Source organism: Homo sapiens, chromosome 14 (assembly GCF_000001405.40).
Source record: "Homo sapiens chromosome 14, GRCh38.p14 Primary Assembly".
NCBI classification, from domain to species: Eukaryota; Metazoa; Chordata; class Mammalia; order Primates; family Hominidae; genus Homo; species Homo sapiens.
In genome coordinates this window covers 37,503,784-37,526,106 of record NC_000014.9, presented here as the reverse complement: position 1 = coordinate 37,526,106, position 22,323 = coordinate 37,503,784, and the positions used below count along the sequence as shown (strand labels likewise).

The window sequence follows — 22,323 nt, the reverse complement described above, 5'->3', positions numbered from 1 at the left end:
ATCACATTTTTGGTGATTCTTCTGTCTCTATAATTTTAACAACGTTTGATATGCCATACTCTCTTAGAAATACTATGATAAAGAAGCCATTAAGAGTATCCTCTACTTTTTCCCATTGATTCTCTCCATCATTGAGGAATATTCAATACACACCATAGAGGAACAAATTTAACTGAATGAGTTCTCCTTAATTTCAACAATTAATATGGGCACAAAGCAATGTAAAGTCTTCACTGGTTATCTTTACTGTTAATTTATCAGGTCCAACTTTTCTTACGGACAAGTAGGCTATATGCATAATCCTTTAATGTACAATTTCAAAGTTCAGAAAGCTCTGAAAAACAAAAAGTACTTTTATAAGTTTGCTGCACTCCTGTTGCAGCAAAACCTGACCTGATTTAGGGTGACAATTCACATATATCTCATTGCAGAAACATTCATGTGTTTGATTATAGGCTGCTTCCGGGAACAACATCCTTTTATAAGATTTGGAAAATTCTGAATTATGAAACACACATAAACCCAAGGGTTTTAAGTGAGGGATATGGATCTGATTAGGTTCTGTGTTATTCCTTTAGTAGGTGAACAATATTGTTCATATGCCATAGCAAATTCAATATTTTAAAATCATATTTTTGGAGGGTCTAAAATTGATTATATTCTATGGTACACTCTAAAAAGTAATCAAGACTTACAGCAACATAGCCCAAAGAGTTAATGGAATATATGGTTTTCACAATGATAAAACCTTCCTTGATTCACCCAAGTCGGAGAAAGATGTCCTTTCTAAGTGTCCCCACAGTACTACACACTTCCCCTATTATGATTGCTGTTTACTGGTCAGTATCCCTTGCTAGACTGTATGCTCAGTGATGTCAGATGCTGCTGCCTTGAATTATATTTAACCAGTAATTCCCAGTGCTTGCCTCAGTGCTTGGTGCATAGCACATGCTTGATTAAAATAATAATTGAATTGGAAGGCAGAAGAAATAAGTTTCAAATAATTCTCTAAGTACCTTCAAATAACTCAAGGTAGGACACGAACTACTCTCATTCATCTTCTATCCTTTCATTATTTAAGGACCCCTTTTATTCTTATTTCGCCAAAATATTTTAGCAGCTGTCCATTCACTGACATTTCTATTGTGATAATAATCATGCTCATTTTATTTCCAGTTTTATTTTGTAGTCTTTCATGTTAATGATTATACTTCCTTTGTCTTTTTAAAATAAGCTTCAGGCCGGGTGCGGTGGTTCATGCTTGTAATCCCAGCACTTTGGGAGGCTGAGGCAGGTGGATCACGAGGTCGGGAGTTCAAGACCAGGCTGGCCAAGATGGTGAAACCCCGTCTCTACTAAAAATACAAAAAAAATTAGCCAGGTGTGGTGGTTGGTGCCTGTAATCCCAGCTACTCGGGAGGCTGAGGCAGAGAATTGCTTGAACCTGGGAGCCAGAGGTTGCAGTGAGCTGAGATTGCGCCACTGCACTCCAGCCTGGGTGACAGAATGAGACTCCATCTCAAAAAAAAAAAAAAAGAAAAGAAAAAGAAAAATTAAGATGTCAAGAAGAACATCCACCTGGATATTTTATATACTACTGAAATTTACATACTACTGAAATTCAACCTGCTAAAGATGTCGTTCCATTTCACTCTGTTCTTCCTCCAGTCTTCCAAATCTCAGTAAATGGTATTCCCATTTATCAGACTGTTCAAGACAATTATCTGGGAACTCTCCTCAACACCCTGTATCTTTCCAGAAAGTCTACTGTCCAAATTTATCTCATGTCACTATTTCTCTCAATCTCCCCCACCCCACATCCAAGTTATCACAATTTCTCATCAGTTCTATTACTTCCTAGTGAGTCTATTTCTACTCTTGTCTCATTCCAATTATCTTCCACATAGCAGTCAGTGTTAGTCTTTTAAAAATGCAAATCAGAATATATCCCGGATTGAAATCCATCAACAATTTCCACTGCTTGTAAGGTAAAGTCAAAAAATGGGAAATAACAGATAAAAACCACAACGAAAGTTAAATGGTTCTATAAGATCTGACTCTGCATACTACTCCATCCTCCTTTTTTGCTCCAAGCACCATTATTTTGCTGCAAAAATCTTCCTTCAGTTTCTCCAACAAGCCAAGTTATTTGCTTTGGCTTCCATACAGAAGGCTTTTTCTCCTGGCTAATTCCTATTTATACTTCTGGTCTCAGAGAAACACCTCTTCCCTTACCACAAATCTTAATCTGCCTGTTATACTTTCCTAGCATTCCTAGGAATTTTTCCTCATCATATTAAACTAAGTTATAATTACACACTTCTGTGTATGAATATTTTAATATGTCTCTCCTGAAAGATTTACGAGGTCAAGGTACAGTGAGGTCAAGATACAGTTTGAGTTTGTTCATCAGTGCCTAACACAGTGCCTGGAACACACAGAAGATGTTTTTAAAAAATCTGTTGAATTAGGACATGAATACAATTGATCAACATCTAACTATTATAATTATGACAGAAAAATATTTAAATCATGACCTGTTTTGAATGTGCAACAATCTTTCTTCTTTTATCCATTAGGAATTTTTCTCTTTCATCTTTTTTATTTGGAATGAAATAGATTTGTATTTGAGATCTGGAAAAAAAAAACTCTAATATTTATATTTGGCTTAGCTATTATAACTCATCTATTTACTTCCTGGGATATCTGTAATGATTTGTGTTTAAATTTTCACTTTACGATAACTAATTAGGACACCTAGATCACCATTTAAAAAATACAAACAACCACTTCCAGTAGTCAAAAGGGGCTATTTTTAAACGGACAAAATCCATCACAAAACAGTATCAAAGCTAAGTTTTATCATAGAAGTATGGACTCATTAAATAATTAGGCAGACAGATGGGCTAGCTATTATACTTAGAACTTGGCCCAAATTCTAATGAGTAATGAAACTTGTTCATTAAGCCATAAGCAAGGTGACATGACTGTTAACATAAATCTTTGATGCACTGATCTGATTCCTTTCTAAAGACATTTACTTAGAGTAGAGTTTATTGTGTTTAAATTGTTACTTAAATGATATTTTAAAGTTCTTTATTTTTATTTTCATGATATAGAAAATGTATGAAACCAATATTAAATTCAATTACTAAGGATAAAAATTGTATTAATGGGTTCCAGTTTCACTCCCTAAGTAAGAAAATAGGATTCATATCTATTAATTTCCCACTAACATGTAGCTCTCCAGAATAACTACTTGAAATGTATTCCTAGGATGCAAACATTTTTATTATTTTACTATTCACTGGATTCATTATTCAAAAAATTATGAGCAATAGTACAAACAATTTATACTACACGATAAATGATGTATTCTATGAAATTCAAACGTTTTCAGAGTCAATATAATCACAACATACTTTTTTTGGATTCATGTGTTCATTCACAGTTTGCTTTTAACTACTTCACAGAGATGGGAGTTTACACATTACAATGAGGATTTATTGATTTATTGGTTACAGAGTATAATAAGCATTCTCAGTAAACTGGAAAAGATAGCTCTGAGGCTAGTATCATACAATAGTAAGTTGCAGCATACTTCAGAGCAAAATCAGAAGGTTGGCATAAGAGAACGATATATGGTGTAAACTAGACTAGCAAAGACTAATATTTAGTAAGTCCACTAACACAAACAAATTAGGTTTTTAAGTTGTACACTTTGTCCACGATGGGAAAAATATTTACTTAGTATTTTATGTTATATGGTAAACTATTCTATAACAAACTATTAAATTTCCTTTTTGGGAAAACGTTTTCTTATTTGAAGATGCGTAAAGTAACACTTAACATTAATATGATGTAACACATACTTTTTCTAGCAAACAAGTCCTTTCAATACTGTATCTGAATTTAGCTAACTCAGATAATTTGACTTTTGCATGTATTTGTGGGGTGTGTTTTGTTAATAAATAATAAAAGTATTTAAAAATGTTTTTTAGTATTTCAAAATAAATACTTTTAAACAATAAAATGTGTTAAATTGATGAGAGTAAAAGGGTTGAGCAAAAACTACACAATGAAATTCTCTAAAGCATCATGTAAAAATTTTGTAATTTAAAAATGTAAAGATCATGTAGCCAAAGGTGGTAATGTTCTCTGCTCTGTTTTATTTTTGAAGCCAAAGAAAAAAAAAATATATATATATATATATTTTTTTTTCTTTAGATAAAGTCTTGGTCTGTCACCCAGGCTGGAATGCAGTGGCATGATCTCGGCTCACTGCAACCTCTGCCTTCTGGGTTCAAGCAACTAAGAATAACATTTTTATTAAACTTTTTTTGCTTTTTAAAATGGAATAGTTTGAGGACTTCTGAGAGCCCACAAATGAGCAAAGTGGAGTACTGGAAGAGATCCGCAGAATAGTTCATGACTCAATCAGCTGACTGAGTTGTTTATCATTCAGCTGAAGAGAACTGGCCAACATGTTGTTTTAGAGCGTAATTTTTTTCTTTGGTAGTTGTAACTTGTTTAATTTCCATCGCTAATAGCCATTGAAGAAGTAAAGCAAGCAGAAAGTATATGGATGTTGAAATACAAATTAATGAGGAGCATAAAAATAAATCTGTAAATTCACCTCAGGATTCTCTTCACGAGATCTATAAATTGTGTTCATTTGATCACACTACTCACATTACCTATTATGTAGCTGCTTCTTAAAAAATGAAGTTAAAGAGAGAACAAATTAGAATAATAATACTCAATTTAGTTTTTCATATACTGGCATAAAGGCCAAAACACCCACAATGTGCTATTTGTGAAAATATTCTAGAAAACAGAGGCTCTATTGTTTTATTTTAAAAGTAAATGTGGCTGGGCGCAGTGGCTCACACCTATAATCCCAGCACTTTGGGAGACTGAGGCGGGTGGATCACCTGAGGTCAGGAGTTCAAGACCAGCCAGGCCAACATGGTGAAACCTTGTCTCTACTAAAAATACAAAAATTAGCCAGGCGTGGTGGCTGGTGTCTGTAATCCCAGCTACTCTGAAGGCTGAGGCAGGAGAATCACTTGAACCTGGGAGGTGGAGGTCACAGTGAGCCGAGATCTTGCCATTGCATTTCAGCCTGGGTGACAGAGCAACACTCCGCCTTAAAAAAAAAAAAAAAAAAAAAAAAAAAAGTAAAATGTTAAGAATTCCAAATATCATCTCACAAGCAGTTATTTAATGTCATAATATGTTATTAAATTTTAATCTACTTTCTTTTTTATATTCAGTCCCTAAACCCAACTTAATATTTCATTATAAAATTTAACAAATTGTGATTTTTCTTATATAGCTGAAGTCAAACATCATGTGATGTTACATATTATAAGTATTAAAGATTGTTTTAAATAAAAGTTATAAAACAATCAATGTAAATTAACTTCTTTATCTTATACCAATGCAAAAAAATATGTTTAAAACACTACCTAGAGAATATACATTGAAGAGATTCAAGAGGCAAGAAAGGTTCAGAAATGTTGCTTTAACATTGCTAAGGGTTTTGATCATTTTAAACCCAGAAAAGTTTCAATTAATGATGGAGGAAGTGAGTCACTGATTTTTATACTGCCAATGAAATGCAGCAAGCTAGAATAACTGGTTAGTTTTATTAAGGTATCTTATTAAGATGGCTTATTAAGCTACTCACTGTTGTTTTCATAGGGCTTTAGGCAGATACTAAACTTTAAAATGTAGGATTCGTTCCTTCCTAACTTTCATAAAAGTCATATATAATTAGCACTGAATGAAATTTTCTAATGTCAACATTTCAAATTTTGATTAACAGGGAATACAAATCAACCTTACTCAAGTTTAATTCAAAAGACAGGCAACATCCTTTGGGAGACTAGTAGAGATAATATATCAATGCAACTTCAAATTTTAGACTAAGCCATGGGCCTACAAAGTAAAAGTAATATTCAACTTATTAAGCTGGCATCATCACAGTCATTTTCCCTACCTGATTTAACCATGATTCATAAAAACCATATATTCTCATATTTAGATCAACATTTAAGGTCTAGAAGGCAATCAGGCCCCTGTTGATAGATATGATGATTGATCTACATAGAGTATAAAAGATGATTGAAATAAAGATAAAGTAACAGTTGATAAAAGTGGTGAAGGTTCCAAACATGAATTGAGATATAAAAATTTAGACAGTGGTAAGGTTTATGGACACCATATAATTAAAAACCTGGCCAAATTCCGCAAGGTGGAAGAACCACAATTGTTCAAGTCTATGATATCACTATCATTTCTAAACATAAAATACCATTCAATAGAAATCATACAAGTCAGGATAACTTAGCAAGTTAACATTATCATTATTACTATTTTTAAAGAGACTAAACTAGGAGTGTCTTTTGTTCCCCTGTAACAGTCTTTTTTTTCCCCTGTAACAGTGTCTTTTTCATCTTTTATAGGGTATTCAAGGCTAGAACTAGAGTGAGGTGAATGAGGCACTCATCTCAGGTTAAAATTTAAAAGGATGTAAAAAAAAGTAATCAAGATGAGTAATATGTTAATAAAAATAGTTTTAAAATCACAAAACAAAAACTTCATGAGAAAAATATCAAAATTTTAAATAAGGAAAGGATCAGTACCTAGTCTAACACTGACAGTCTCTAAAGCAAAACTTCTTTACCTCGTAGTTTCTTTAAAAGATGAATTCTGATAAAGGGTTGAGTGGTTTAGGTCTATCTGCCATCACTTACATAAGCACAGAATACATGAGTGAGAAAAATGCCCAAAGTAAATTTTAATAATAAATCCCTAAATTATTGTTCTAAGGCAGTTGCTATCCTAAATCCCTATGTCTAAACCCACCCTGATTTCTAAGCTCTAAACCCCTTGGTTATACTAAGTAAGCTCTCTCAAACTATTTAGACTGATTGATTCTAGTACCAAGGTTGCTTCTTTTAACTAATTTTATAGCTGATTCATGGTCTTTGCTTGAATTAATTATACTGCAAGTTACAAGGTACTGATTTTCTAATTGTATCATTCTCTCTACATTTATTAACTGACATTATTCTGTACAAAAGGCTGTTTCCGCTTTATCCTTCATCTCTTGTTTTTGAGTACGTTTGTAGACTCTAAGATGTAAAATTTCAATATTTTGTAATCAAAGAGTTTATTTTTTGATTCACAAGACATCCCAAATTTGGTCAGTGGGAACCTTTTCACGATGGTTTATGTGTCCTTTCTATATAACCCCCATTAAATCTGTGAGCATTTGCTTGTTTCTTGGCACAAGAAGACATCCCAGATTACTCTGTATTTTCCCTGACCCAGACCTAGAAGCTTGGTACTTTTTAATGGGAAATGGTACTTAGAAACTAAAATCTGGATGCTAGATGTGTGTGTTGCTTTTAAGCCCTTTTCAGAGGATAGAGCTAAGAAAAATATGTATATATTTAAAATCACGCCAGTTGCGGTGGCTCATGCCTATAATCCCAGCATTTTTGGAGGCCAAGGTAAACGGAACACTTGAAGCCAGGAGTTCAAGACCAGCCTGGCCAACACAGCAAAAACCCATCTCTACTAAAAATACAAAAATGAACTGGGTGTGTTGATGTGTGCCTGTTATCCCAGCTACTCAGAAAGCTGAGGCAGAAGAATCACTTGAACCCGGGAGGCGGAAGTTGCGGTGAGCCGAGATCCCGCCACTGCACTCCAGAGTAAGACTCTGTCTCAAAAAAATTAATAAAATAAAATCATGAGATTTACTTTGATATTTCTAATTCAAATTTAACATTACAGTTTCTATTTCCTAATTCCATTTATTTTATGGTGGAAATCTTGGTTCCTAATAACATTTATTTCTTTATTTGCTCAATCCAACAATATACATAAAATCATTTCAAAATATTAATACCAGTAGGGCTAATAACTGTTAACATAGTTAGTAAACTTTAAAATTTCTTTGCATGTATTTCTGTTCTTAGAATATATGCCACTAAGGATGTATAGTCAAAGTATGATGATCAAAAGATACTTTTCTGTATCTTATCAATTTGCTATACAGTTAGGTATGTTTATTTCTATTTATAGTCACTTTTAAGGCTTTCTTTTTATCTTTTTAATTTGATTTCAATTTCTAAATATGTAAAAGATTTACATGGCTCAAAAGTCAAAACTATACAAAAGGGCATACTCAGAAAAGTTGCACTCCCATCCTTGCCTGTATCTCTTTCCCATATACTTCCAAAGGTAATCATTTTAGTTTCTGGCTGATCTTTCCTGTTCCTTTTATTCTTATTTCTCACACAAAAGGCAGTATATGAGAAGCACTTGATTTTTTTCAGTTAGCAATCTGTCCTGGAAATCACTCAATATCAGTTTATAGATATCGTCCTTATTCTTTTTTACAGTTGCATTGTATTACACTATGTGCACGTACCATCATTTAACTACTCTCCTGTTTGGGTTATTTTTATTTGCTATTAAAAACAATACTGTAATTCTTATGTTGCTTCATACGCATGGAGGTTTATATTCAGGATAGAGTCCTAGAAGTGATTCTCCCTTAGTCAAAGGGCAAATGCATATGTACTATTGTTAGACATTGCCAAATTCTCCTCCATAGGGGTTTTACCATTTCACGTTCTCACCAGTAATGTATGAGAATGCACAGAACCCTCTTTACTTCCAGTTTCAAGACCTATGTGAAGAATCCCTTTCAAAAGTTACATGGTTCTTATATAGTTTCTGAGGCTACAATATAATTTTTCTCCCTTTCTGTTTCCAAACAGGTGATCATAATGTTTTAATTAAAAATATATAAGTTGAAGGTATTAAACCACTTATGTTTACAGAGCACATTATACTTTTCAAAGCACTTTTAGGCACACGCATTTCATTTGATCCTTATAGCCATGTTTTGAACTAGATTAGAGCAAGTATATCTTCCAGATGAGAACACTGAGAGCAAATTTAATGATCTGTACATACCTAGTTACTGACAGTTGAGGGTCCTGTTAGTTCACTAATATTTTTACTCGATACTAAGTTGCCTCCCCTTTAACTTTGAATTTTAGTGTCTTAATTTCTATATGTTAGTGTAACTTTCTAGATAAAAGTATTAGGAATGCAGACCTAATCATTATATTTACCTCATAAATGGCAGAAACAAGAACGCTATTATTGAGTTATTTGAGCTTGTATTTTAAGTTTATTTTGGATAATAAAGCTTCATTTGTTTGGTTCAGCTTAAATATTTTATGAACTACAAAGTGCTAACCAAGTATAATATAGTTTATTCTAAAAAAATACAGCATATTTCAATTTAAAGAAAGACTTAGTAATGTAAAATAAGTAACAGATTAAACACAATGAATTATCTTTTAATACATAAGCAATTGCTGTACATTTCTAAAGTCATAGCAAATAAAGTAAAAAGTAGCCAAAATGTAATTTCAGGACTGAATTAAAGTTCAAAGTCTTCCTTTGTACTAAACAACGTCTCCTTGCATTCTGTGAAAAGGTGAGAGAAAAAGTTCTATTCTGAGAATAAAACATTTGAACTAAATTTTAATTAGATTGATTCATCCTTGAGAATGGCAACATATATTTATCCTATGAAGTATACTTCAATAAAATATTAAAGAATGACATTAACAAATATAAACTGAGAGTCCTCAAATCAGAAGAAATGAAATTATTGAGCATAAATATAAACTCTAATTTTGGCCTCTATTTCATAATGTAAACTGTACTCCATAAAACACAATCTGTATGTTAAAGATGCCATTTATTTTTGAGGTTGAAAAAACAAAAAGACTTTAGACCCACATATAAAAGGTACTCTTTTCATCCTTTTCTGAGACACTGACCTGTATACTCATTTAAAAATGAACACCACATCTTTACGTTATTAAATCTTTGTTTTGATCTATTAGTATTCACCAAAGTGCCATTTTATAAAACCCCACACTGAATAGACAAGGCTGGAGGTGACCATCTGCAGCTTTAGAGTCTGCGTTTGAATTGATGAAAAGAGCTTTGTGTTTTCATTGCCAAGTTTGATTCTTCCAGTCATTAGGCATTCCCCTCAGATCGCATCAATGAAGCCGGACTCTCTTACACCCATGTGTTAAATTCTCTTCTCCTCATGGTTTCCTTTACCAGCTCTCCTCAAGAATGACTACTGGGTCTTAGCCACATTCTTCTCACAGCTGTGTTAAAAAAGAGCATCAGAAAGTCTTCCTAAAACCCATATGTGTATCTGATCAGTTCTCTGTCTTAGGGTCACCTCACATTGTGGTGTGATTATACAGAGATTCATTCTTGTTCTTGAACTGTGCTACTCCCATCATTCTGGGAAAGATTTAGGCCCTCTGAGAGTCGGTACTAGAGAACTTCTTGGACGTTATGTGAAATACACATAACTTAGCTAAGAAGGCAGATTAGTTTAACTTAAGAAAGATTTTTCAAGATACTAAAAATGTTTTATGTTATTTTTACCATTATATAGCTTGTTATATGGCACATGGTAACAGAAAGAGATATAACATATGCTTTTACATATACACAGTATACTGTTGTATGAGGCAAACGAAAAACTAAAAAGATGATGACGTTCCAAGAACTATTAGTTTGTATTGTATAAATGCCAAAGCAACTAAAAAAATTAAAATTAGTTTAGTAGGTTCCAAAATATCATTTACATGGAATTTGTAGAATCTTTTTTTTTGTCACTTTTGGTCAGTCTTCCTATAGAAAGACCTGCTAAAGTAGTCTACAATAGTATAGCTTTTTTTTTTTTTCATTATATTTAGGTTAAGAAGTGAAAAGTGCCTCTGTTGAGTTGTTCAAGAATGTATAACACTGAAGGAAGAAAGAAGATATGCTTCAGCTGTAATTATATTCAATATTGTTATGGAAAGTTTTTTCTCCTTAAATGTAAATGATCAAGAATAAAGTTAATCTATGGACAATGTTTATGATTTCTCCATCAGACAAAGTTACACTGAAACAAGCAAAGGATTCTTCATTCTGTAAATTTACCAATGGGCAAATATGGACATCGGCAAATCCCTGACCCAGTAGGGATAAATAACCAATTACGGAATCTTAGAATCCAAGTGAAATTTGTATTTCTACATGCTCTTGGGTTCAATTGAGTTTCTCCCAATTATATTTTGGGAATAAAAGCTGTACCTAGTATACCTACGTGTCTATTTAGGATAGCTGCACAACTGTGAAATAAGATTTTAGATGAGTATACCTGACCAACATGGAGAAACCCCGTCTCTACTAAAAATACAAAATTAGCCAGGCATGGTAGCACATGCCTGTAATCCCAGCTGCTGGGGAGGCTGAGGCAGGAGAATCGCATGAACTCGGGAGGCGGAGGTTGCTGTGAGCCAAGATCGCGCCATTGTACTCCAGCCTGGGCAACAAGAGCGAAACTCCGTCTCCAAAAAAAAAAAAAAGTGTATATTTTCTATATTAACCAGTAGATACATTATATCTAATCTGTGTGTTTAATAATAGAGACAACAAAGGGGAAAGTTTTGAGTGAGTTATATAAAGTATCAAGTTAAACGATATGTTACATCAAGTCTAATGAGATTGAGCAATGTTTTTGCAGGAATGACCAAAACTTCTAAAAATCTAACTTCTACACCTTCCTTTTCACCTTTACTATAAACATATTTTAAAGTACACTAACAATTAGTGTCATTTAGTAACCTTTTCCTAGGGAATTCAAATCACTTTATACATCTTATTTTTATCAATTCTTCAATGAATCTCAGGTAAGGTAGTTGAGTACTCCTAACTTCACAGAAGTACCCAGGAGCTATGTAGCCTGTCAAGTGATAAAAAATTAGAAAGCTTTTGACTGCAGCTAAGAACAAAAGAAGGGAAAAGCGTACCTGTTAGATCATATATCCCTCTAAGGAACTTATATTTCATATAAAATAGATATGTGAAAATCACATGTATGTGAATCTAAGGTATAAAAAATGTGGTATTTTTCCCTATCAAATTTTAGTTAAAATGTACATGATCATCGTAAGTGGATTCTGTAATTTCCCTAAAATAATAAAAATTCTGGTCTTTTACTTTTAAAATCACTGTAGTACTGGCATTAATAAAAACCAAAAGCCAAAACTCTTGTATTTAAACTGAAACAGTATGGTATCTCATATTTAGTCTTTTGTTCTTTTTCTTCCATTCCTCTCTATTGTGTTCATCTGAAACATGTTTTATCTATCTGAGTATGCAGAAACATATAGTAGCTCAACTCTAGTTCTAATCACTGGAAGACAGCCTCTGAAATGAAGAAGTACATTAAATGCAAAAAGCCATGTTGTAATCTAAAATTTTGATTCCTACTTTTATGCTCATTTTCATTCATTCCATAAGGTTAGTTACAAAAAGGATCTATCTTATTAGGGAAAATACAGAGTCTAGGTTTAAAGAGCCCTTTTTCTTCTTTAGCCTGGATCCTTCACTTTGCACTCCATTGGAATTCTTATATTCTGGGTTAGGCGCCAATCCTAACAATCCTACATTAATCCTTCCCTGGCACAAAGGAGTTAGCCAGATAATTAAAACTATGTTTCTTCTTCATACCAACATGAGACATTCCCCATAGTTAAGATATAAGCCCAAATTCTTTAGTTTTTATAAATAAATGAATATAATTATGTACTTGTCAAACATTGTAGGTATATCTATGTGTATAATAAAATCAGCTCTAAAGAAACCTACTTTATATATAGATGGATGGGAAAGGTGATCCACTCTACAAGCATATAATGCAATTGGTGATAATTTTAATGAAATGCTTGTTTAACAGAGTATGAGATGACATATTTCACAAGTTAAATATGTAATCAGATAATTTTAACTTTTATGATTCACAAATTCAGAATATTAAATTCTTTAAAAGCATATCACATGTCAAAGAATAAAAATTAAGCATGTTTAGATGTTGTATATCTTATGATGACTGTTTAGGAGCCATCTGAGTCCATCTTCCATATATAGATGATAATAAAGCTATCTCTAATTAGATTTAGAAGGTGCCTTCCAAAGCTAATTAGGGAGGGCATTTGTTGATAAACTATTACAAATAACTATTCGACTTATTACTTGCTGAAGTACATATATTTCACAGCTTTTAAATTTCAAATACAAGAAAATATTTTAAGGAGCAATTTCTAGAAGTTTTAGGTCTCCTCCCACTTATTAATAGTACTAATAAATCAAAGTTAACTTTCAACATTATATAAAATATTGATTTATACCTTCTGCTGAGTTAAGGAATTATGAAACTTATTCTTTGATTCAATCAACAAGTACTTATATTGTTTGGATATGTCTAATTTTGCCTTGACACTTACAGTCCAACAAAAAATTTATAGGAAAAATATCACAGGTAAAGTTGACAAGAACTAGAATAATTTTAATGAAAAGACAATGAAATTATAAAAAAAAATTCACTGAGGCCTTTCATTTTTTAGCATAATTATTTTTCATTATGGATAAAATCGGATTCTGGAGCCAGCAACAAAAGTAAAAAATCTAGTAAAATGTATTGATGAAAATAGCAGGCTTTTTTTTTTTTTCAACTGAGAAACTTTAGAAATGCTCTGTTCCTCTTCCCAGCACCCACAGTCATCTATCCTGTTTTATAATTCAACCTACAAACAGATTAAGCAGCTGAGTTTGTGGGAAGTATGTTTGCTCTATGCTAAGAACCCTTGTGTGACACTATGGTGACTCCCTTGACACTTCGAAGAGAACTACAGACTCTTACTCGTCAGCAGGAAAACCAGGCTGAGAATTCACAATTTCTTTGTAACACCAATTTCTTTACAGAAATCAGTATTTGGTCAAATAGCAGAAAAGACTTTAAACAGCTGTGTGTGTGTGTGTGTGTTTGGTCAATAGTGCTCAAAAGATATAGGGTGCCCTATATTTCAAAAGACAATCTACAACTTCACAAAACCTATCAATTGAAATGTTTTAACCTGATCTTTGATGTTATAATTAAGTTATAAAAATTTAAGATGAGCAGAACTCCTGTAAATTTTAAATAATGGATTTTTTCTTTTTAGAAAATTATGGAAAGCATGAAAGTTCTTGAGTTGATACATCTTTTCTTACAAATCTGTTTAAAAGTTTACAATTTTTCTATATCTCTTTGTCTCATCTATTCATTATATAGTTACAGTATATAACTCTTCATATAGTTTATGAGGGAATTTGAATCATATCACTGTAAATCTGGCCCACAGTAAAAATGACATATGACAAAAGTTATTTCAGTGTAAAACCCAGATCTTTAAGAGTTCTAACCTTATAAGCCTGGTTGTAATTACTTTTACTTTAAGAAACTATGTGGAGCTTAGGTATGCTAAGTATAGCAAAATGTATTTTTAAAAGTCCTTTGGAACTTGTTCCAGGCCACAAGAAGCAAGCATACTTGTAGATGGAAACGAAACTATAGCATAAAGAATCACAAAGTTTTAAATCTCTCATGAATAATAAAAACATCTCTTAATGGATTGATGTGTCAGTTTTCTCTTTAATAAATGGGGATTAGGGATAGTCTTTGACAAAACTATTAAGAGAAGTTTTTCCTACCAAGTTCCTGTGCTCTTAGCTGCTCTTTAGTTCCCTTTACCTCGACATAACCACTCTGTCCAAAACCAAGCACATTCAGTACCAGCAATCTAAAAGCTAAATCACAATGGGCTATTCATCCACAAACTACACATTTTCCAATAAAAGTACATAAAGAAAAGAGAATGAATTTCCACTGATAAAAGATTAGGCTTTATGACAGGTGGGCCAAGAAGATATTTTTTGGTGATGAGGTATGGCATGCACTGACTTTTTCCCTATAAGTGATGATATGCCTATACTGGCTAGCTTATGGATGGTAATCCTGTACAACTTGTCTTTCTAGGAATACTCCCATAGGCTGAAATATTTCAGAAAATATTAAAAATTTTTATGACTCTGGAAGAAAATAAATTTATAATTCTATGAATAGCAATAGTAGATAGTCTCTACTATTACCAAAGATTTCAGGTCTTCTAAATGTAATTAAATTTGATGGAAGTGCGTGGTTAAAATCTGATCAACAGGAAGTAAGCACTGCCAGCTCCTCGGAGAGTGAAAGGTGTGGTGGTGGCAGTGAGGGGAGGGAGGGAAGGAACAGCCATAGAAGTCATGCTTTTCTATGAAACTAGTAAACTCTGGGCTCTGGGTTGGAAGAAAAAGTATTTGTCATGGGCCTAAAGCAGAGGGGAGTATATCTGAAATTTTCCTGTGTATCTCTAACTTGACCTGCTTTTACTTTAATCTGTTATTCTCTGAAACTACTAAATTGTTATAGTTGATTTGTTCATCAATTTACAGAGTACTTACTTTACAGCAGGTATCTGCATGAGTTTTTAGAAGAGATGGGGAAACAAAGATGAATAGAACACAGTCAATGTCTTAGGAAATCTGGAAGAGAGTGCAGTAGGTAGAAAATAGATATTAAAAAAATACCACCTATGCCTGGTGCAGTGTCTCACACCTGTAATCCCAGTACTTTGGGAGGCTGAGGCGGGCAGATTGCTCCAGCCCAGGAGTTTGCGATCAGCCTTGGCAACATGATAAAACCTCATCTCTACCAAAAACAAAACAAAACAAAAAAAACACCAAAAATATTGGCCAGGTGTGGTGACGCATGCCTGTAGTCCCAGCTCCTGGGGAGGCTGAGGCTGCAGTGAGCCATGATTGTGCCACTGTACTCCAGTCTGGGCAACAGAGCAAGACCCTGTCTCATAAAAACCCCCAAAACCAAAACAAAACTATATATATACACACACACGTATATGTATGTGTATATATATAAACCATACATATATACAGTCTATGTCTATATACATGTAGTTTATAGATGTGTGTATATATAAGCTTTATATATAATATAGACATATGTATGGTTCATATATGTATTTACACATACATATAGTCTATATGTATACAGACTATACAAAGATGAATAGACTATATAGACTACGTGTATATATACATATATAAACTATGTGTGTCTATAAACTACGTATGTATGCATATATATATATAGTTTTCAGGTTGAATTATAAAACATGATCAATGACTGTGGGTGCTGGGAAGAGGAACAGAGCATTTCTACAGTTTCTTAATTTAAAAAATGCCTACATATATGTACATATACATAGTTTACATATGTATATACACATACATATATAGCTTATACATAAGTAGATAGATATACATACATGTATATACACACAAACATACATGTATGTGTATCACATGTGCATGTGATACACATGTGTATAAACGTACATAAACATACATATATATCACCTATAAGTATATATACATATGTACATGCACATATATAAACAATATATGTGTATATACATATATAAACTATAATGTGTATGTATATATGTATCTGTACTATATATGTACATATATATAGGCTTTTTCTAAAATTGAGAAACTGTAGAAACGTGCTCTGTTCCTCTTGCCAGCACCCAGAGTCATCTATCCTGTTCTATAATTCATCCTGCAAACAGATTAAGCAGCTGAGTTTGGGGGAAGTATGTTTGCTCTATGCTAAGAACCCTGTGTGACACTATGGTGACTCCCCTGACACTTCAAAGAGTGATATATACATACCACTCTTTGAGTCTGTGTGTGTGTGTATGTGTGTATATAGATATATATACACATGCATACATATAATATATATATAAAACTCTCAGAATTGTCAGAGGAGGCAGGAAATACAGGAGAATGGGCAGGACTTTACTTTCAGGGGAGTGAGGAGTGAAGAGTAAAGAGTTTTGGAAACATGAGACTGGATCTCAGGGGACAGGTGAGTACTAAGATAAGTATTTGGAAGTTATTTGGCTAATAAGTAGTAGTTGAAGCTTAAGGAAATAGATGACATTCCCGGGAATTGTGTAGAGGTACAAGAAAAATAAAATCTTTAAGCAACCATTATGTTCGGATAGCTGGGAGATGTAATCCCCGAAAGAAATGGAGTAGGAACAGTCAGGGAAGTCATAAAGGTAGAAAAAAATGGTGCTACAGAATCTAAGAAAACAAAAGGCTTCAGGAAGGAATGATGAACAGTACTAAATGATGAGAGTTCAAGTAGGATAAATATTCTAAAAGTTGACTGCATTTGTGATTGGATGCTTGCTAACCTTAAAAAAAATCCTAAAATAATATTACGTGAGCAGAGGAACCAATATACACAAAGGCATTTAGTCCTGAAAAGGCAGAGACCTTCTGAGGAATGAGATAGTACAGTGTGGAGTGAAATGCCAAGAGAAGGAGGAATTACGTAACACATATTCTTCTAAAAGCATTACATGTATTAGCTCATCAAATTATCATGGCAACGTTATGAGATAGAAGCATTATTGTCCACATTAGCATAGTGTTTTATATCCAGGTTCACATACCTATACATTCTGAATTCAAAGCTTGAGATTTTAAACCATTATGCTATATTGCTGAAGATACATGAAGGTCTTTATTTATTTTCACCATAAACATATGTTCATTGTACAATAAAAATATCGTTTAAAATGAGCCATTGAATTTAGTAGTTAGAAAATTACTGGTGATCTTAAGAAGAACAATTTCAGTATACAAACTAGCCATACTGTACTGAGTAGCAGAGGAGTAAATGGGAATTGAAAAATTAGAGATGGTGAATATAGATCAGTTATTCAAGAAATTTGATTGTGAAGGGAAAAGGGGACAGTTATTTAAGAAATTTCGTTGTGAAGAAAAATTTGATTGTGAAGAAATTCCTTTAGTTTAAATTTTAAATTCCCTGGAATACTGACATATTTTCAAAGAACTTTCTAAAACATTTGCTAATAATAATGATTTCAGATTTTTAAGGAGACTATGAATACCATCTTACGAAGTCTTATAAGTTGGTTTCCTTTAAGAGGATAACATTTCTCTTAAACTCAATAAAATAGGCTAATAGCCTCATGAAGATACATTTTGCCAAATTGATGGCAATTAAATATGAAATACAGTGGATCAAATATGAAAAGGAAAACCCGATAATACTTCATCTAGCTCTTACTGTTGGAAATCAGAAGAAAAAGGGATTTAACATTTAATTCTTTTAATGACATAGTTGTGCTTAAACTCTGATCCATGGATTAGTGCCATTCCATAAAAAAGTTTTCATCTGTCTATGGTTAAATGCAAAAACTAAGGAAGAGACAGTGAATTTTTCAGAGTTAAAGTTACTTTATTTATTAATTTTTATTATACTTTAGGTTCTAGGGTACATGTGCACAATGTGCAGGTTTGCTACATAGGTATACATGTGCCATATTGGTTTGCTGCACCCATCAACTCGTCATTTACATTAGGTATTTATCTTAATGCTATCCCTCTCCCAGACCCCCAGTCCCTGAGAGGTCCCGGTGTGTGATGTTCCCTACCCTGTGTCCAAGTGTTCTCATAGTTTGATTCACACCTACAAATGAAAGCATGTGGTGTTTGGTTTTCTGTCCTTGTGATAGTTAGCTGAGAATGATGGTTTCCAGCTTCACTGATCTCCCTGCAAAGTACATGAACTCATTCTTTTTTATGGCTGCATAGTATTCCATGGTGTATATGTGCCACATTTTCTTAATCCAGTCTATCATTGATGGGCACTTGGGTGGTTCCAAGTGTTTCCTATTGTGAATAGTGCCGCAATAAGCATATGTGTGCATGTATCTTTATCATAAAATGATTTATAATGCTTTGGGTATATATCCAGTAATGGGATGGCTGGGTCAAATGGTATTTCTAGTTCTAGATCCTTGAGGAATCGTCACACTGTCTTCCACCATGATTGAACTAATTTACACTCCCACCAGCAGTGTAAAAGCGTTCCTATTTCTCCACATCCTCTCCAGCTTCTGTTGTTTATTGACTTTTTAATGATCGCCATTCTAACTGGCATGAGATGGTTATCTCATTGTGGCTCTGATTTGCATTTCTCTGATGACCAGTGATGATGAGCATTTTTTCATATGTCTGTTGACTGCATAAATATCTTCTTTTGAGAAGGGTCTATTCATATCCTTGGCCCACTTTTTGATGGGGATGTTTGTTTTTTTCTTGTAATTGTTTAAGTTCCAATAAATTATGTACATTCTGGATATTAGCCCATTGTCAGATGGGTAGATTGCAAAAATTTTCTCCCATTCTGTAGGTTGCCTGTTCACTCTGATGATAGTTTCTTTTGCTGTGCAGAAGCTCTTTAGTTTAATTAGATCCCATTTGTCAATTTTGGTTTTTGTTGCCATTGCTTTTGGTGTTTTAGTCATGAAGTCTTTGCCCACGCCTACGTCCTGAATGGTATTGCCTAGGTTTTCTTCTAGAGTTTTTATGGTTTTAGGTCTTACATTTAAGTTTTTAATTCATCTTGAATTAATTTTTGTATAAGGTGTAAGGGAATCCAGTTTTAGTTTTCTTCATATGGCTAGCCAGTTTTCCCAGCACCATTTATTAAATAGGGAATCCTTTCCCCATTGCTTGTTTTTGTCAGGTTTGTCAAAGATCAGATGGTTGTAGATGTGCGGTGTTATTTCTGAGGGCTCTGTTCTGTTCCATTGATCTATACCTCTGTTTTGGTACCAGTACCATGCTGTTTTGGTTATAGTAGCCTAGCACTATTGTTTGAAGTCAGGTAGCATGATGTCTCCAGCTTTGTTGTTTTTGCTTAGGATTGTCTTGGCTATGGGCTCTTTTTTGGTTCCATATGAACTTTAAAGTAGTTTTTTCCAATTCTGTGAAGAAAGTTATTGGTAGCTTGATGGGAATGGCACTGAATCTATAAATTACCTTAGGCAGTATGGCCATTTTCACGATATTGATTATTCCTATCCGTGAGCATGGAATGTACTTCTATTTGTCTGTGTCCTCATTTATTTCATTGAGCAGTGGTTTGTAGCTCTCTTTGAAGGGGTCCTTCACATCCCTTGTAAGTTGGATTCACAGGTATTTTATTCTCTTTGTAGCAATTGTGAATGGGAATTCCCTCATGATTTGGCTGTTTGTCTGTTTTTGGTGTATAGGAATGCCTGTGATTTTTGCACATTGATTTTATATCCTGAGACTTTGCTGAAGTTGCTTATCATCTTAAAGAGGTTTTGGGCTGAGACAATGGGGTTTTCTAAATATACAATCATGTCATATGCAAACAGGGACAATTTGACTTCCTCTTTTCTTAATTGAATACCCTTTATTTCTTTCTCTTGCCTGATTCCTGGCCAGAACTTCCAATACTATGTTGAATAGGAGTGGTGAGAGAGAACATCCTTGTCTTGTGCCAGTCTTCAAAGGGAATGCTTCCAGTTTTTGCCCATTCAGTATGATATTGGCTGTGGGTTTGTCATAAATAGCTCTTATTACTTTGAGATATGTTCCATCAATATCCAGTTTATTGCATAAAGTTTTTAGCATAAAGGCTGTTGAATTTTGTCAAAGGCCTTTTCTGCATCTAATGAGATAATCATGTGGTTTTTGTCATTGGTTCTTTTTATGTGATGGATTACGTTTATTGATGTGCATATGTTGAACCAGGCTTGCATCCCAGGGATGAAGCTGACTTGATCATGGTGGATAAGCTTTTTGATGTGCTGCTGGATTTGGGTTGCCAGTATTTTATTGAGGATTTTCACAGCGATGTTCACCAGGGATATTGGTCTAAAATTATCTTTTTTGTTGTTGTGTCTCTGACAGGCTTTGGTATTAGGATGATGCTGGCCTCATGAAATGAGTTAGGGAGGATTCCTCCTTTTTCTATTGACTGGAATAGTTTCAGAAGGGATGGTACCAGCTCCTCTTTGTACCTTTGGTAGAATTCAGCTGTGAATCTGTCTGGTTCTGGACTTTTTTTGGTGGTAGGCTATTAATTATTGCCTCAATTTCAGAGCCTGTTATTGGTCTATTTAGAGGATCAACTTCCTCCTGGGTTAGTCTTGGGAGGGTGTATGTGTCCAGGAATTTATCCATTTCTTCTAGATTTTCTAGTTTATTTGTGTAGAGGTGTTTATAGTATTATCTGATGGTAGTTTGTATTTCTGTGGGATTGGTGGTGATATCCCCTTTGTCATTTTTTATTGTGTCTATTTGATTCTTCTCTCTCTTCTTTATTAGTCTGGCTAGCAGTCTATCAATTTTGTTGATCTTTTCAAAAAACCAGCTCCTGGATTCATTGATTTTTTGAAGGGTTTTTTGCGTCTCCATCTTCTTCAGTTCTGCTCTGATCTTAGTTATTTCTTACCTTGTGCTAGCTTTTGAATTTGTTTGCTCTTGCTTCTCAGTTCTTTTAATTGTGATGGTAGGGTGTCAATTTTAGATCTTTCTTGCTTTCTCTTGTGGGCATTTAGTGCTATAAATTTCCCTCTTAACACTGCTTTAATTGTGTCCCAGAGATTCTGGTATGTTGTGTCTTTGTTCTCATTGGTTTCAAAGAACATCTTTATTTCTGCCTTCATTTCGTTATTTACCCAGTAGTCATTCAGGAGCTGATTGTTCAGTTTCCACGTAGTTGTTCAGTTTTGAGTGAGTTTCTTAATCCTGAGTTCTAATTTGATTGCACTGTGGTCTGAGAGACAGTTTTTTGTGATTTCTATTCTTTTACATTTGCTGAGGAGTGCTTTACTTCCAATTATGTGGTCAGTTTTAGAATAAGTGTGATGTGGTGCTGAGAAGAAAGTATATTCTGTTGATTTGGGGTGGAGAGTTCTGTAGATGTCTATTAGGTCTGCTTGGTGCCGAGCTGAGTTCAAGTCCTGGATATCTTTGTTAACCTCCTCTCTCGTTGATCTGTCTAATATTGACAGTGGGGTGTTAAAGTCTCCCATTATCACTGTGTGGGAGTCTAAGTCTCTTTGTAGGTCTCCATGGACTTGTTTTATGAATCTGGGTGCTCCTGTATTGGGTGCATATATATTTAGGATAGTTAGCTCTTCTTGTTGAAGTGATCCCTTTACCATTATGTAATGGCCTTCTTTGTCTCTTTTGATCTTTGTTGGTTTAAAGTCTGTTTTATCAGAGACTAGGACTGCAAACCCTGCTTTTTTTGTTTTCCATTTGCTTGGTAGATCTTCCTCCATCCCTATATTTTAAGCCTATTTGTGCCTCTGCATGTAAGATGGGTCTTCTGAATACAGCACACTGATGGGTCTTGACTCTTTATCCAATTTGCCAGTCTGTGTCTTTTAATTGGGGCAT

The 22,323-nt window shown here is 33.9% G+C and overlaps 1 protein-coding gene across 13 annotated transcripts in view; it reads right to left on the bottom strand.

Moving 5' to 3' along the window:
• MIPOL1 (mirror-image polydactyly 1) overlaps window positions 1-22,323 on the bottom strand; it is a 354,425-nt gene that overhangs the window by 26,255 nt on the left and 305,847 nt on the right. Inside the window, exon 13 of one of the 13 annotated variants that reach the window (NM_001388069.1) lies at window positions 3,270-5,149. The exons of the other annotated variants lie outside the window; for them this stretch is intronic. Coding sequence (NP_001374998.1) covers window positions 4,852-5,149 — 298 coding nt within the window. The 3' untranslated portion in view covers window positions 3,270-4,851. Of the gene's footprint in view, window positions 1-3,269; window positions 5,150-22,323 lie in introns of those variants that run through there. 13 annotated transcript variants of the gene reach the window in all.